Here is a 16,883-nt window from a genome sequence, read left to right on the forward strand (position 1 = left end):
TAATCCCAGCTACTCAGGAGGCTGAGGCAGGAGAATCGCTTCAACCTGGGAAGTGGAGGTTGCAGTGAGCCGAGATAAAACCACTACACTCCAGCCTGGGCGACAGAGTGAGACTCTGTCTCAAAAAAAAAAAAAAAAAAAAAAAAAAAAAAAAAAAATCATGCCACCTCCGAAAACACCCAGCTAATTTTGCTACACATGGGAATCTTGCTAAAATGCAGATTCTGATTCAGCAGGTCACAATGTGAGTGTGGAGGTCTGAGATTACACTTTTCTATCTAGCTTCTAGGCCATGCCCACGCTGCTAGTCTGAGAACCACACTGGGAATAGCAAGATCTTCAGCATATCACAGAGTCTCTCCCATGTAAACTCTTAGTTTGCACAGTGCCCTACTGTGTTGGGGAGGAAGGCCTGGGAATGCCTTGCTTCCTCACTGGCAGCCAGGGCCTAAGCAGTGTTTCAGTTCCCTCCTTCTCACAACTGTATTGTTTTAGTCGAATGAGCCAAAATCAACCTGGCATTCCTAGGTGAAACTTTAATGTGATTGTAATTTCAGTGCTGTTCTATGTGATTCCGATCTGTCTTCTAATGAGAATACACATGTTTACAAATTTACTTGTGTCATAGAAAAAGAAATTAGAAAACTGCTTATACAACAAGTCCCTTGAAGTGATTAGTATTCGCAGTATGATGTTAAGTAGGTTTTTTTAGGGAAACAACACAATGATTTTAAATTTTATTCTGATTCTTTGATTCACGCAGCTTTCTATTTGCTTGAACTCTGAAGCCAAAGCCCTAATTTGCCATAAGAACACTACTAGGATTTCTGGAATAAAAATAACCTGATCAGATGTCAAGGCACTGACCCAAGAATGATGTCTACAGTCTGTTCCCAGATTTGCTTCTAGTTCAGTCAGTGACATATCAGCAAATTACTTGTTTTCATTTTCCTCAGTAAAATAATGATAATGATCATTTATACCTGCAATATACCCATTATTGGCTTAATACTACATGTGGACCAAGGAGGTCATAAATCTATATTTCTAGTCCAAATTTCTTTTTTTTTTTTTTTTGAGACGGAGTCTCGCTCTGTGGCCCAGGCGGGAGTGCAGTGGCGCAATCTCGGCTCACTGCAAGCTCCGCCTCCCGGGTTCACGCCATTCTCCTGCCTCAGCCTCCCGAGTAGCTGGGACTACAGGCGCCCACCATCACGCCCGGCTAATTTTTTTTTGTATTTTTAGTAGAGACGGGGTTTCACCGTGTTAGCCAGGATGGTCTCAATCTCCTGACCTCGTGATCCGCCCGCCTCGGCCTCCCAAAGTGCTGGGATTACAAGCGTGAGCCACCGCGCCCGGCCTCTAGTCCAAATTTCTACCCTCCTAAGAATATATATATATGTGTGTGTGTGTGTGTATCTCCAGACTGGTATATCCAAATGCCCACCAGGTCTTACCACCTGGGGATATGATGGGTACTCCAAATTTAATTGTCCTACCTAAACTTTCTGCCTTCCCTCCAAACCTGATCCTCTTCCTATATTCCTATCCTGGCTAGTTATATGACCATCACAACCCACTCATCCAAGCCCAGAAACATCATTTCCTGTTACACTGTGAGCTCACTGGGGTAGCACTTGGTCTTAGTCACCTTCATAACCCCAGTATTTTGAACTAGACTTGGCACTGCAAAATGCTGAAAAAATATGCCTGTATTGAACTAAACTCCATAAAGATGGATGGTCCATACAAACCTAGAAGTTATTTATGAGAATTTTGAAGAATTGCCATTGTGAAAAATTGCAATACTTCTACCTGCCCCCATGCTCCAAAACAAATGGGAATACAGCTTTTCTGTTAGTGATTTCTATACTAGGGTATAGTGAACTCCCATGAATCTAAACTCCATATAAGCAAAGCTTGGTAGTGTTTTAATTCTTATTTTTACATTCTGTACCAACTCTTATCTATATTTATCTCCATATTTGTTATTTTTTACTGTATTTCTTCTAGCCTGTCACCCTCACTCACGGATGCATTCCTGCTATATGCCAATATTGTAATAGGTGCTTTGTGACATTGTTTTTAATTTCACAGCCTGTGAGGTAGATTTTATAAATATTATTTTTAAGTGGGAAGCAGGTTCAAAGAGAGTACATGACTTAATATCAAACACAAGTAAGTGAGGAGGGTAGAGCTCCCATCGTATTCTCTCTGTGGCTACAGGCCTTCATAATACACTTTAGGGGATATGATCTTCCTTCCTCTTACTTGGAAAATTTCATCAAAGTTGTAGTATCTTCTCCATTTATAAAATAGCGTATGTTTTTGCAATTTGAAAAAATAAAGTTACCCATAATACCACTATTTAGAGATATCAGCAGTTACATTTTGCTACATTATCTTTCAGGGTTTTTTCTATTTATAGCTGTGTTTTTAAACATGCCATACTGTTTTAATTATTATATATTTGTAATGTATCTTGACATCTGATAGGACAAATTTCCCCCTCCCTCATATCTCCTCTTTTCCAAAACTTTTAACTAGAAAAATATCTCTAATTTTTTTTTCAATGAGAGCTTCTCTTCATCTTCTTCTACCTTGTGAGAAGGGCCCCTTCTGAATATCTAGACATATAAACAAGGGTTCTCTCCATGTAGAAAAGACTTCTTTTGAAGTAGCTTGGGTTGGGGAGGCTGTCAATAAATGATAGTAAAATGAATCTAAAATGTGCTTATATCATTTTTTAAGAAATCAATTTTTTTAATGCTTATAGAATCAGTTTTCTTCTGAATGCCTTCCCAGAGCTGGGAATTAGGGAAGACATTGAGACACCAAGTAATAAGGTAAGGCTGAGAGGGATTAAAAAAAAGACTTAGAGGGTTTAGAAAATATGCTGTTGTCTCTACAGCTGCAGAAAAGGAGCCTCACTTTTTTTAAAATTAGAACTTAGTTACAGAAGAGAGGTTTACTCTGAAGCATGTCACCCACCAGTTGCCTCCTAAGAAGTTCTCAAATAAATGTTCTTTCTTCCCCTTAACTGCAAACCCAGCAGATAAGCCTGTAGCTGTGAAACAAAAGACACTCTGCTTTTGCCACCTGCCCACCTGAGCTCCTAAAAATGATGTCACATTTTCATTCCTCAAGAGCTGGACTGTTCAGTGGCTAGGCAATTCTCCAGAAGCCCAAGAGCTCTGAGAGCAAAAGTGTAAGGCCAAATTTGTATATTTTTCTGGGCCAGGGCCCTGAGCTAGACCAGGTACAGGCCCTGGGTTCCCCTAGGGTTTTGACCTCTCAGTGAATCTGATACAAGATGAGACTCTTTGGGAAGCCCCACCCTGGGGGCATGAGAGTACTACCTAGCCTTTCCTTTTCAGCTTGGACATTAGCCACCCAGAGGGTTGCCCCTTTACCAGCTTTCCTCTAGGGTTGGTGCAGAATCTCTGCCTAACTCCTCAGGGCATGAGGCTGATACAAGAAGATGGGCATGGCATCCAGTGGCTGATCCCACCAAAGGCACACAGCATGTGCTGGCAGTCCAGCTGGGGCTTGGACTCATCCCCCATCCCAGTCCAGCCCTCCTTACTCAGAGTCTTCCAGCATATTGCCTTTGTTGAAGCTAGTGTACTGCCATGGAGGTGTTCATGTCAGCTGATGGAGCACTGGCTCATGGTGGGAACTAACAAAACTGTGATAGACTGACATGTGGTCAGAGATCTCTGTGGACATTCATACCTGTGTGGTATTCAGTGCTGAGGAGAACACAGAAGGCCACACTGTGTGGTGCCTAGAGTGATGGAACTGAAGGAAGAACACAAAGTCTACATAAACAACAACAGTGCAGGGCAGGAAGGAGTGCTAAGAAAATTCATGTCTATTGAGTCAGTTGTGAAAATAAGAATTCATCCACTCACTGATTAAGAACCCTCCTGTGAAGCCAAGAAAGATAAGCGCTTAAGAGGTGCTCACATCTTAGGTATACAGAAAAACCAATATGCTGTAATCATGTTCCATTTGCAGAGATCATCTTGGGAGGCCTGATGTAATAAGACAAACAAAAAGTTGTGTCTGCAGAATGCATGGGACCAATCATGGGCCCTTCTCTTGATGGATGCTTAACTTAGCAGCACAGGCAGATCCCTAAATAATTAATTAAAATAGTGCTGTGAGGTGTTGTGATAAAGATTTATGCTTAGAGAAGAAGTGAGAAAGTTGGATGAGGCTTTATAAAGAAGAATGGGGGAAATAAGTAGAAAGTATGTATGTTTAGAGGCTGGGCACAGTGGCTGATGCCTGTAATCCCTAGTACTCAGGAGGCTGAGGCAGGAGAATCGCTTGAACCCAAGAGGTGGAGATTGCAGTGAGCTGAGATCACACCACTGTATTCCAGCCTGGGCAACAGACTCTGTCTCCAAAAACAGGGGGAAAAAATGTATGTTTTGAATTTTGTTTGGTCGTACTGTGGAATGTTTCTGACATTCTCAGAAGTTTCTGGCATGCTATAAAGACACCCATCTATAAGTCATATAGATTCGACAACTCTCATGGGCCCACAAGCATAGATTTTAAGAAGACAAGGGGGTGGAGCCAAGATGGCCGAGTAGGAACAGTTCCAGTCTACAGCTCCCAGCATGAGCGATGCAAAAGACGGGTGATTTCTCCATTTCCAACTGAGGTACTGGGTTCATCTCACTGGGGAGTGCCGGACAGTGGGTGCAGGACAGTTGGTGGTGCAGTGCACCCTGCGTGAGCCGAAGCAGGGCGAGGCATTGCCACACCCGGGAAGCGCAAGAAATCAGGGAATTCCCTTTCCGAGTCAAAAAAAGGGATGACAGACAGCACCTGGAAAATCCCGTTACTCCCACCCTAATATGCGCTCTTCCAACGGGCTTAACAAATGGCACACCAGGAGATTATATCCCGCACCTGGCTCGGAGGGTCCTACACCCACGGAGCCTCGCTCATTGCTAGCACAGCAGTCTGAGATCAAACTGCAAGGCGGCAGCGAGGCTGCGGGAGGGGCGCCCACAATTGCTCAGGCTTGAGTAGGTAAACAAAGCAGCCGGGAAGCTGGAACTGGGTGGAGCTCACCACAGCTCAAAGAGGCCTGCCTGCCTCTGTAGGCTCCACCTCTGGGGGCAGGGCACAGACAAACAAAAGACAGCAATAACCTCTGCAGTCTTAAATGTCCCTGTCTGATAGCTTAGAAGAGAGTAGTGGTTCTCCCAGCATGCAGCTTGAGATCTGAGAACAGGCAGACTGCCTCCTCAAGTGGGTCCCTGACCCCCGAGTAGCCTAACTGGGAGGCACACCCCAGTAGGGGCGGACTGATGCCTCACACAGCCGGGTACTCCTCTGAGACAAAACTTCCAGAGGAATGATCAGGCAGCAGCATTTGCAGTTCACCAATATCTGCTGTTCTGCAGCCACCGCTGCTGATACCCAGGCAAACAGGATCTGGAGTGGACCTCCGGTGAACTCCAACAGACCTGCAGCTGAGGGTCCTGACTGTTAGAAGGAAAACTAACAAACAGAAAGGACATCCACACCAAAAACCCATCTGTACGTCACCATCATCAAAAACGAAATGTAGATAAAACCACAAAGATGGGGAAAAAACAGAGCAGAAAAACCAGAAACTCTAAAAATCAGAGCACCTCTCCTCCTCCAAAGGAACGCAGCTCCTCACCAGCAACGGAACAAAGCTGGATGGAGAATGACTTTGACGAGTTGAGAAAGGAAGGCTTCAGAAGATCAAACTACTCTGAGCTACAGGAGGAAGTTTGAACCAATGGCAAAGAAGTTAAAAACTTTGAAAAAAAATTAGATGAATAGATAACTAGAATAACCAATGCAGAGAAGTCCTTAAAGGACCTGATGGAGCTGAAAACTATGGCACGAGAACTACATGACAAATGCACAAGCCTCAGTAACCGATGTGATCAACTGGAAGAAAGGGTATCAGTGATGGAAGACAAAATGAATGAAATGAAGCATGAAGAGAAGTTTAGAGAAAAAAGAATAAAAAGAAACGAAAAAAGCCTCCAAGAAATATGGGACTATGTGAAAAGACCAAATCTACATCTGATTGGTGTATCTGAAAGTGACGGGAAGAATGGAACCAAGTTGGAAAACACTCTGCAGGATATTATCCAGGAGAACTTCCCCAATCTAGCAAGGCAGGCCAACATTCAAATTCAGGAAATACAGAGAACGCCATAAAGATACTCCTCGAGAAGAGCAACTCCAAGACACAAAATTGTCAGATTCACCAAACTTGAAATGAAGGAAAAAATGTTAAGGGCAGCCAGAGAGAAAGGTCGGGTTACCCACAAAGGGAAGCCCATCAGACTAACAGCTGATCTCTCCGCAGAAACTCTGCAAGCCAGAAGACAGTGGAGACCAATATTCAACATTCTTAAAGAAAAGAATTTTCAACCCAGAATTTCATATCCAGCCAAACTAAGCTTCATAAGTGAAGGAGAAATAAAATACTTTACAGACAAGCAAATGCTGAGAGATTTTGTCACCACCAGGCCTGCCCCAAAAGAGCTCCTGAAGGAAGCACTAAACATGGAAAGGAACAACCGATACCAACCACTGCAAAAACATGCCAAATTGTAAAGAACATCAAGGCTAGGAAGAAACTGCATGAACTAACGAGCAAAATAACAAGCTAACATCATAATGACAGGATCAAATTCACACATAACAATACTAACCTTAAATGTAAATGGGCTAAATGCTCCAACTAAAAGACACAGACTGGCAAATTGGATAAAGAGTCAAGACCCATCAGTGTGCTGTATTCAAGAAACCCATCTCATGTGCGGAGACAAACATAGGCTCAAAATAAAGGGCTGGAGGAAGATCTACCAAGCAAATGGAAAACAAAAAAAGGCAGGGGTTGCAATCCTAGTCTCTGATAAAACAGACTTTAAACCGACAAAGATCAAAAGAGACAAAGAAGGCCATTACATAATGGTAAAGGGATCAATTCAACAAGAAGAACTAACTATCCTAAATATATATGCACCCAATACAGGAGCACCCAGATTCATAAAGCAAGGCCTTAGAAACCTACAAAGAGACTTAGACTCCCACACAATAATAATGGGAGACTTTAACACCCCGCTGTCAACATTAGACACATCAGTGAGACAGAAAGTTAACAAGGATATCCACGACTTGAACTCAGCTCTGCACCAAGTGGACCTAATAGACATCTACAGAACTCTCCACCCCAAATCAACAGAATATACATTGTTTTCAGCACCACACCACACCTATTCCAAAATTGACCACATAGTTGGAAGTAAAACACTCCTCAGCAAATGTAAAAGAACAGAAATTATAACAAACTGTCTCTCAGACCACAGTGCAATCAAACTAGAACTCAGGATTAAGAAACTCACGCAAAACTGATCAACTACATGGGAACTGAACAACCTGCCCTGAATGACTACTGGGTACATAACGAAATGAAGGCAGAAATAAATATGTTCTTTGAAACCAACAAGAACAAAGACACAACATACCAGAATCTCTGGGACACATTCAAAGCAGTGTGTAGAGGGAAATTTATAGCACTAAATGCCCACAAGAGAAAGCAGGAAAGATCTAAAATGGACACCCTAACATCACAATTAAAAGAACTAGAGAAGCAAGAGCAAACACATTCAAAAGCTAGCAGAAGGCAAGAAATAACTAAGATCAGAGCAGAACTGAAGGAAATAGAGACACAAAAAACCCTTCAAAAAATCAATGAATCCAGTAGCTGGTTTTTTGAAAAGATCAACAAAATTGATAGACTGCTAGCAAGACTAATAAAGAAGAAAAGAGAGAAGAATCAAATAGACGCAATAGAAAATGACAAAGGGGATATCAACACTGATCCCACAGAAATACAAACTACCATCAGAGAATACTATTAACACCTCTACGTGAATAAACTAGAAAATCTAGAAGAAATGGATAAATTCCTCGACACATACAGTCTCCCAAGACTAAACCAGGAAGAAGTTGAATCTCTGAATAGACCAATAACAGGAGCTGAAATTGTGGCAATCATCAATAGCTTACCAACCAAAAAGAGTCCAGGACCAGATGGATTCACAGCCAAATTCTACCAGAGGTACAAGGAGGAACTGGTACCATTCCTTCTGAAACTATTCCAGTCAATAGAAAAAGAGGGAATCCTCCCTAACTCATTTTATGAGGCCAGCATCATCCTGATACCAAAGCCTGGCACAGACACAAGCAAAAAACAGAATTTTAGACCAATATCCTTGATGAACATCGATGCAAAAATCCTCAATAAAATACTGGCAAACCAAATCCAGCAGCACGTCAAAAAGCTTATCCACCGTGAACACCATGAGACTGGGAGTCTTGCCCATTTTGTCCACTCCTGTACACTCAGTGTTTACATCAGCATCTGGCACATGCTGGGTGCTCAGTATATATGAGATGAATAAGCAAGTGAGTGAACAATGACTAAATCAATGAACCAAGGTTGCTTACATTTCTTCCTTCAGGGGAAGTTTCAATGGGAAGATGGCCACACCCCAGCCTCTGGCACTCTCTTATCCTGACAACCTTATGAGCTCTTGCAGGACAGATCTGGTCATACATCTATGTCATAAATTTATTTACATCATCTGAGCAGCAGTCTGTTATCCTCAGCCTTGCTTTTTGTCCCATCAGTAAAACACTTCATTACAGTCATTCTCCCTAGGGAAATGGAGCAAAGTGGAAAGACAGGTCACCATAGAATCTCCAAGAACATATGTGTTTGGAAAACAACACTTCTGCCAAGAAATGATGCTGTTGCCCGCATTGCGGCACATATCCCCTCCTAAGAATCACTCATTTGCAGCATTTGGTACAGGACAGATGCACAGAGGTCATGCAGGAAAGGTGTGTTCACTTACATTCACACTCTGCTGGCACCCCCAGTGAGTACCAAGGGTCTGGTCTTTCTCTTGGAGCTCTCGGTTGAGCTGTCTAATTCTTCCTCTAGCCCTGTAAGGCACAACCTATCCCATTTTGTGGATGAGAAAACTGTAGCTCTAAGGACTTTAAGTAATCAGTTCTAACTATGTTGTCATTGGTAAATTTTGAAGGTTTGCTGTTATTTCCAAAAGATCGTATTAAATTTTTCAGTGTTTAGAGGAATTATACCATACCAAAAGATAAAAATCAAGAAATGTTTAAAGTTTTTAATAATCTAGTTTTTAAAAACTATTTTATACCAGCTTTCTCTTTCTCTGAGAAATCTTAAGATACTTAATGTTTCCCCTTAGTTAATAGAAGTTATAAAGTTCCATGCCTTTTTTCTGACATTAAGGTTTTTTATTGGCAGATAATAATTTTACATATTTATGGAGTACATAGTGATATTTTGATACATATCACATGCAGTGATCAGATCTGGGTAATTAGCATAGCTACCATCTCAAACATAGCTGCCATGTCAAGTATAGCTACTTCTTTGTGTCAGAAACATTCAATACTCTCCTTCTAGCTATTTGACACTATGTTGTATATTATTGTTAACTATAGTCATCCTACTGTGGTATAGAACACTAGAACTTATTCCTTCTATCTAGCTGTAATTTTGTATCTTTTAATAAGTCTCTCCCTATCACCTTCTTCCCCCTACCCTTCCCAGCCTCTAGTATCCTCTGCTCTACTTTTTACTTCTATGAGATCAATTTATTTAGCTTCCACATATGAGTGAGAACATGCTGTGTTTAACTTTCTCTTCCTAGCTTATTTCACTTAATGTAATGTCCTCCAGTTCTATACATGTTGCCATGAATGACAGAATTTCATTCTTTTTTATGGCTGACTGGTATTTCATGGTGTATATATACCATATTTTTTTGTATTACATCTATTTTTAAATTATCCTTTTTGGGGGCTAAACCTTATTAAGGTATAATTTACAAAGAGTATGTTGCATCCATTTTAAGTGTACAGTTCAACGGGTTTTGACAAATATATACAATCATATAACCACTACTACAGTCAAGATACAGAACATTTCCAACTTCTTGAGAAGTTATGTTGTGCCCCTTTTCTGTCAGTCCCGCTGCTGGCTCCATGTAAACAATGATCTGCTTTTTGTCAATGTAGATTAATTTTCCTTCTTTTAAAATTTCATTTAAGTGGAATAATAAAATTGCAATTTTTATTTAAATATTCTTTTATTTAGCATAATGTTTTTGAGGTTCATTCATGTCATTTATATCAGCAGTTCATTTTTTTCCTTTTTGAGACAGGGTCGCCTTCTGTTGCCCAGGCTGTTGTGCAGTGGCACAATCATAGCTCACTGCCACTTCAAACTCCTGGTCTCAAGCAATCCTCCTGCTTCAGCCTCCCAAGTAGCTGGGACTACAGGCACATGCTACCACACCCAGTTAATTTTTGTATTTTTAGTAGAGATGAGGTTTTGTCATGTTGCCCAAGCTGGTCTTGAACTCCTGGATTCAAGTGATCCACCCATCTCAGCCTCCCAAAGTGCTGGGATTACAGATGTGAGCCACCACACCCTGCCAGCAGTTCCTTTTTATTGTTGAATAATAGTCCATTTGTGCATACAATTTAATTTGTTTATCCATTCACCTGCTGATGAACATTTAATTAGTTTCCAGTGTTTTGGCTGTTATGAATAAAATTGCTGTAAGTTTTCTTGTGCCATCTTTTTATTTTTCTTAAAAAGAAATATTTCATAGGGACTTGCAAACAGAAGCCATGTCTGTGTCTTGGGCAGTGGTGAGACAAGATAGTGGATCTCTATGCCTCATGTACAAGTCTTTGTGTAGACATATCATTTCTGTTGAGTTTTATACCTGACAATGGAATTACTGTACTGTATAGTAACCAGTATATATTTAACTTTGTAAGGATTCACCAAACTGTTTTTACTAGCAACATACGAGAGATCCAGTTGCTCCACATCATTACCAGCACTGTGTATTGTCAGTCTTTTTAATATTAGCCATTCTTGTATATACCACATCTTTTATCCCTTCATCTGTTGTTGGACACCTAGGTTAATTCCATATCTTGGCTGCTGTGAATACTGCTGCAATAAACATGGGGGTGCAGATGTCTCTTCGGTATAATGATTTCCTTTCATTTGGATAAATTCCCAGTAGTGGGATTTCTGAATCACATGATAGTTCTATTTGTAGTTTGGTGAGGGACCTCCACACTGTTCTCCATAGTGGCTCTACTAATTACATTCCCACCAACAGTGTGTGAGAGTTCCCTTTTCTCTGCATCCTCATCAGCATTTGCTATTTTTTTGTTTTTTTGATAATAGACATGCTAATTGGGGTGAGATAATACCTTATTGTGGTCTTGATTTGCATTTCTCTAATGATTAGTAATTTGAACATTTTTTCACATATTCGTTGGCCATGTGTGTATGTCTTTTTTAAAATTTTTTGTGGGTATATAATAGGTGTATATATTTATGGAGTACATGAGATATTTTGACACAGGCAGGCAGTGCATAATAATCATGTCATGAAAAATGGAGATCCATCCCCTTAAGCATTTATCCTCAAAATTAGACTTACAATCTAATTTTATGATTTTAATTATCTTAAAATATACAATTAAATTATTATTGACTATAGTCACCCTGTTGTGCTATCAAATACTGGGTCTTATCCATTCTAACGATTTTTTTGTACCCATTAACCATCTTCATCTCCCTCTCCACCTCCCACTACTCTTCCTTCCTAGCCTCTGGTAACCATCCTTCTACACTCTATCTCCATGAATTCAACTGTTTTGATTTTTAGGTCCCACAAATAAGTGAGAACATGCAACATTTGTCTTTCTGTGCCTGACTTATTTACAATGGAGTACTATTGTTCAGCCATAAAAAAGAATGAGATCCAGTCATTTGTATGTCTTCTTTTAAAAAATGTCTTTTCAGATCATTTTCCCATTTTTTAATTGGATTGTTTGTTTTTTTGCTGTTGCTTCAGTTCCTTGTATATTCTGAATATTAGCTCATTGTCCGATTAATAGTCTGCCAATATTTTCTCCCATTCTGTAGGTTGTCTTTTCACTCTGTCAGTTGTTTCCTTTGTTGTGCAGAAGCTGTTAATTTAATTGCATTTGTTTATTTTTGCTTTTGTTGCCTGTGCTTTTGAGGCCTTATTTATAAAATCCTTTTTCAGATCAATGTCCAGAAGTATTTCCCTTATGTTTTCTTCTAACACTTTTATTACTTTAGGTCTCATGTTTAGTTCATTGATCCCTTTTGAGATGATTTTTGTGTAGGGTGAGAGGTGGAAGTCTAGTTTCATAATTCTGTATATAGATATCCAGTTTTCTCAGCCCCATTTGTGGAAAAGACTGTCCTTTCTCCAGTGAGTGTTCTTGGCACCTTTATCAAAAATCAGTTAGCTGTAAATATGCGGCTTAATTTGGGGGTTTTCTACTCTGCTCTATTGGTTTATGTGTCTGTCTTTATGCCAGTACCATGCTGTTTTGGTTACAACAGCTTCGTGGTGTATTTTGAAGTCTGATAATACAATGCCTCTAGCTTTGTTCTTTTTGATCAGGATTGCTTTGGCTATTTGGGATAATTTGTGGTTCCATACAAATCTTAGGAATTTCTTTCTATTTCAGTGAAGAATTTCACTGATATTTTGATAGGGATTGCATTGAACCTATAGATTGCTCTGGGTAGTATGCTGTTGATTTTTTTTTTTTTTTTTTTTTTTGAGAGAAGTCTTGCTCTTGTCCCCCAGGCTTGAGTGCAATGGCTCGATCTCTGCTCATTGCAACCTCTGCCTCCCAGGTTCAAATGATTCTCCTGCCTCTGCCTCCCAAGTAGCTAGGATTAAGGCGCCTGCCACCACGCCGGGCTCATTTTTGTATTTTTTAGTAGAGACGGGGTTTTACCATGTTGGTCAGGCTGGTCTCGAACTCCCGACCTCAAGTGATCCGCCTGCCTCAGCCTCCCAAAGTGCTGGGATTACAGGCATAAGCCACCGCACCCGGCCTGCTGTTGATTTTTCAAAAGCTTTGGTATTTTAAGAGATTATCATGCTTAAATTTGTGAAAGTATACAGAGCTAAGAATCTTTGTGTAATTATCCTCAGGGATTTCAGAGGTAACTTGGAAATTTTTTTTTATAGGATCTGGCTTCATCACCCAGGCTGGAGAGCAGTGGTGCAATCTTGGCACCTCGCAACCTCTGCCTCCTGGGCTCAATCTATCCTCCCACCTCAGCCTCTGGAGTAGCTGGGACTACAGGCATGTGCCACTGTGCCTGATTTTTGTATTTTTTGTAGAGATGGGGCTTTGCCATGTTGCCCAGTCTGGTCTCGAACTCCTAGGCTCAAGCAATCTGACTGTCTCAGCCTCCCAAACTGCTGGGATTATAGGTGTGAGCTACTGAGTCTGACCAACTTGGAATCTTTTAAAAAATAAGTCAGGGAAATCAAGCATGGACAGCTCTGGACAGTTCCAAGTTGGAAAGCTTTTCCCTATAAATCTCATCACCAGGAGAGCATCTCTCTTTCTTCCTAAGCCACCTCTCGTACACACCTACTGAGGCTTAGAAGCTGCAGTTTGATTATGAGAGAAAATGCCTGGGACAGAAAGCAGGTAGATTCCGGTTTCTCACACATTTGTGGGAATGATCCAGAACCCAAGACCTGTGGGACACAGGCAGTCCAGCCATGCCCAAGATGCCTTTGACCTGGCTCTCCATTCCATCTCCTGACTCATCTAGCACTCTTTGAACAGATTAGTCTGGCTGCACTGTTGGATAGGGCCCTGGTCTGTTTTGTCACCCCTATACGTTTAACACAGTGCCTGGCACATAGTGGGCCCTCAATACATAGTGAAAGAATGAAAGAATGAGTGAATGAACAAATAAATGAGTCCATGCACAGACGCAGGATTCCACCCTGTCCTCTATTTCAGCAGGATGCCGACACAAAGGTTCTTCTCATCTAGCCTTGCCTGCAGTTGTGCATGTTTGGTTGGAAACCAGACACCTGAGCATGGACCAGGGAGCAGTACACTTAGCCAGTCCACCCGGGGTGCTGGGGTCCTCACAGCCCTCTCCCCGCACCTCTGCCCCATGAACCACATGCATCCTGTGAGTTTCCCCTGAGTCATAAGTTTAAATAAACGCAATAAAATCAGTAATATCAAATGAGGATAATCATGACTGAGCCTTCCCTGGAAGCCCCAAGGAAGAGCTTCCAGAAAAGCTGTCTGCGTTAACTCTAAGTCAAATCATAATCGAAAACACATTACTACTTTTTCCTGGCAGAAAGTAAATTTATTTTTAAAATTTTATTTTTAATTGACAATAATTGTGTATATTTATGGGGTACAATGTGACATTTTGATATATATACATTATGGAATAATTAAATCAAGCTAGTTAACATATCTATCTCACACATCTTATCATTTTTGTGTGTGACATAAAGCACATTACTTTTTAAGGAAAAGTTTTCTGCTCTACAAATCAACCTGTGGTTTTACAGCTCATTCCCCACGGATTTGCTGTAGTCTTCCACCTCCCTGCAGCCCCAGGCTGGTGCCCTGATTCTACTCTGAGACTTGAGTAAGCTGAAGCATTCTATTTTAAGTTCATTAAAATATTTCGGAATGCTATAGAGTTTTGGTATAAGCAATGAATGGAGAACTCATCCGATGATGCACTTGAAGTCTTCTCGGTCTGTCTAGAACTTAGAACATGATATTAGGACTCTTGGTTGCAAATAATAAAAACTCAACTCAAAAAGCCTTGAACAAACAAGAGAATTTGTTGGCTCATATAATGGTAAAGTCCAGGGATTGCCTTCAGGCTTGAGTAGATACAGGTGTTCTAAGTATATGAACAGAATCCTGCCCCTCCCCACTGTCAGATCTGCTTTTGAACCTCTAGGCTTTCATTCTGCCATGGAGCCAGCCCTGCAGAAAGGGGGCATCTATTACCAAGATCTCCAGTAGAAGCTCCCAGCTCAACCCCAATGGCAGGTCTGAGTCATGAGACCACCACCACTAGTGCCAGGAGTGGTATCCAGCCTTCCAGAACCACATAGACTAAGTTGGAGAGGGAGGGAGGAGTGTCCCAAAAGGAAAAGAAATGTCCCTTTTAGAAGAATGAGGGGCACAGTAACAACTATCCTCCACTGATACCATGTGGACCCTTCCAGCTGCAGAGCTGAGCCTTTCTGGTGACCAGCTGCTCAGAGAGCAGGGCAGTGTGTGGAAGGAGGAGCCTGGAGAACATTTCTCTTCTGCAGTTGCATTTCTTTTGTGCTTTTAAAGATATCAAATAAATCATAAGCCCAGAGGGCGTGATTTCTAGAAGCAAGGCTTTCTGTATTTCCTTTATTTTCTGTTATATTATTCTAAATTCTGAAAATAGCTTTATCAGTGTTTTTTAAATAAAAATGACAGATGCTTCTTGTAATAAATTAAAATTCTATAGTAAAATAAATTGGAGAGAGAGAGTCTCTATTCATGCTAGGTGCCTCTGAATAGCACTTGTGCATGATTGCAAGCTCCCAGTTTTTAATCTCTGCTCGAGTTTGCTCCTTTGGGCAAGGAACTCCCTCTTTCTGCATGTTGATTTATGCATCTATGAAAGAGAGGACTCATCATTTTAGAGCTATTAAAAGAAATTATCAAGCCCTCTTCTGATGCCAGGCGCCTTATTATTTATGTTATATTATTTAATCTTCAAAACAGCCTGATAAGTTGGTTATTGTCATCATCCCCATCTTATAGATGAAGAAACTGAGACTTAGAGGGATTAAGTAATGTGCTCAAGACCACACTTGTAGTAAATGCCAGGGTCTGGGCCACTTCCACCAGCACCCGTACCCATGTGCCTACCACTGCACTGTACCCTGTGAGAATTAAATAAGATAATGCAAGGAAAACTTTTGGCACAGTACCTCAGACAGAGTAAGCACTCAAAAAATTGTGCTCATTTTTTCATAATAGTGATACTGATTTTATGATGAAGTTTTATGGGAAAGAAATTATACATTCGGTATATTGTGTTTGATAGGTGCTTTTTCTCCCACCATGAGGAAGACAAACCTCTCAATTTCATTTTTTCCACCAAACCAGGGGGAGAAGATAATGTTTGCCTTCTGCCCTTTCATTCTCCTTCCTGAGCTGCATTTGGGACCAGAAGTAGGCTTTGCCATGGACCAGTTGGCGACTCTTTCAGGGGTTTCTCTTTAATGTGAGGCCACTTTGAGAGGGACTTTAGAATCTCACACCATGGGTGGGAAGTGTAAATTGGTGCAAGCTTTCTGAAAAAGTCACATCTTTGAACCTGGCTGCTTTACGTCTAGGATCCACAACTGTGGATATGTGAAATTGTTTAGCTGGCAGCATATCCATCACAGAACCGTTTTTAATGCAGAAGAAATGGGAAGGATTCAAGGTCCAAAGATTGGAGATCAGTTACATAAAGCTTGCTGTGTCCATACTATGGAGAACTCTGAGGTGACTGAAGATGTCATGGGAGAAGACTTCAACAACATTACAGTCAATCAGGAATACTAAGTGGAAAAAACAAGTTATAAAACAATGTCTGTCCATCACGTACTGGATTTTATTAAGTGTCTACTAGGTGCACTTTAGTGGTCTAGGCACATGGGATATAGGAGTGGGAAAAAAATGTCTTCTTTGAGCCTATGTTCTATTCAAGAGGGGAAATAGATAAACAAATTAATAATTGTCAATATGTTGATATACTGATTATTGTTGTAATTACTTAATCATAGAGAATTATATATCACTAAATAGCAGGTACAAAGAAGTATTCTGTAAAAATATAAGGAATAAAAATCAGAGTAAGAGGACTG

The 16,883-nt window shown here is 40.8% G+C and overlaps 1 protein-coding gene across 7 annotated transcripts in view, besides 1 other annotated feature; it reads left to right on the forward strand.

The window, feature by feature from the left end:
* The window catches only part of MYRIP (myosin VIIA and Rab interacting protein), a 451,408-nt gene that overhangs the window by 320,405 nt on the left and 114,120 nt on the right, over positions 1-16,883 (forward strand). The window lies entirely within an intron of this gene.
* Positions 4,255-5,454: an enhancer, noted in NCBI's record as "BRD4-independent group 4 enhancer chr3:40175064-40176263 (GRCh37/hg19 assembly coordinates)". NCBI's record gives its function as "activates an origin of replication core promoter dependent on BRD2, P300/CBP, MED14 and CDK7 cofactors, and independent of BRD4, by STARR-seq in HCT116 cells {active_cell/tissue: HCT116}" and the evidence as "EXISTENCE:reporter gene assay evidence [ECO:0000049][PMID:35650434]".

This window comes from Homo sapiens, chromosome 3 (genome assembly GCF_000001405.40).
Source record: "Homo sapiens chromosome 3, GRCh38.p14 Primary Assembly".
In the NCBI taxonomy this organism is placed as follows: domain Eukaryota; kingdom Metazoa; phylum Chordata; class Mammalia; order Primates; family Hominidae; genus Homo; species Homo sapiens.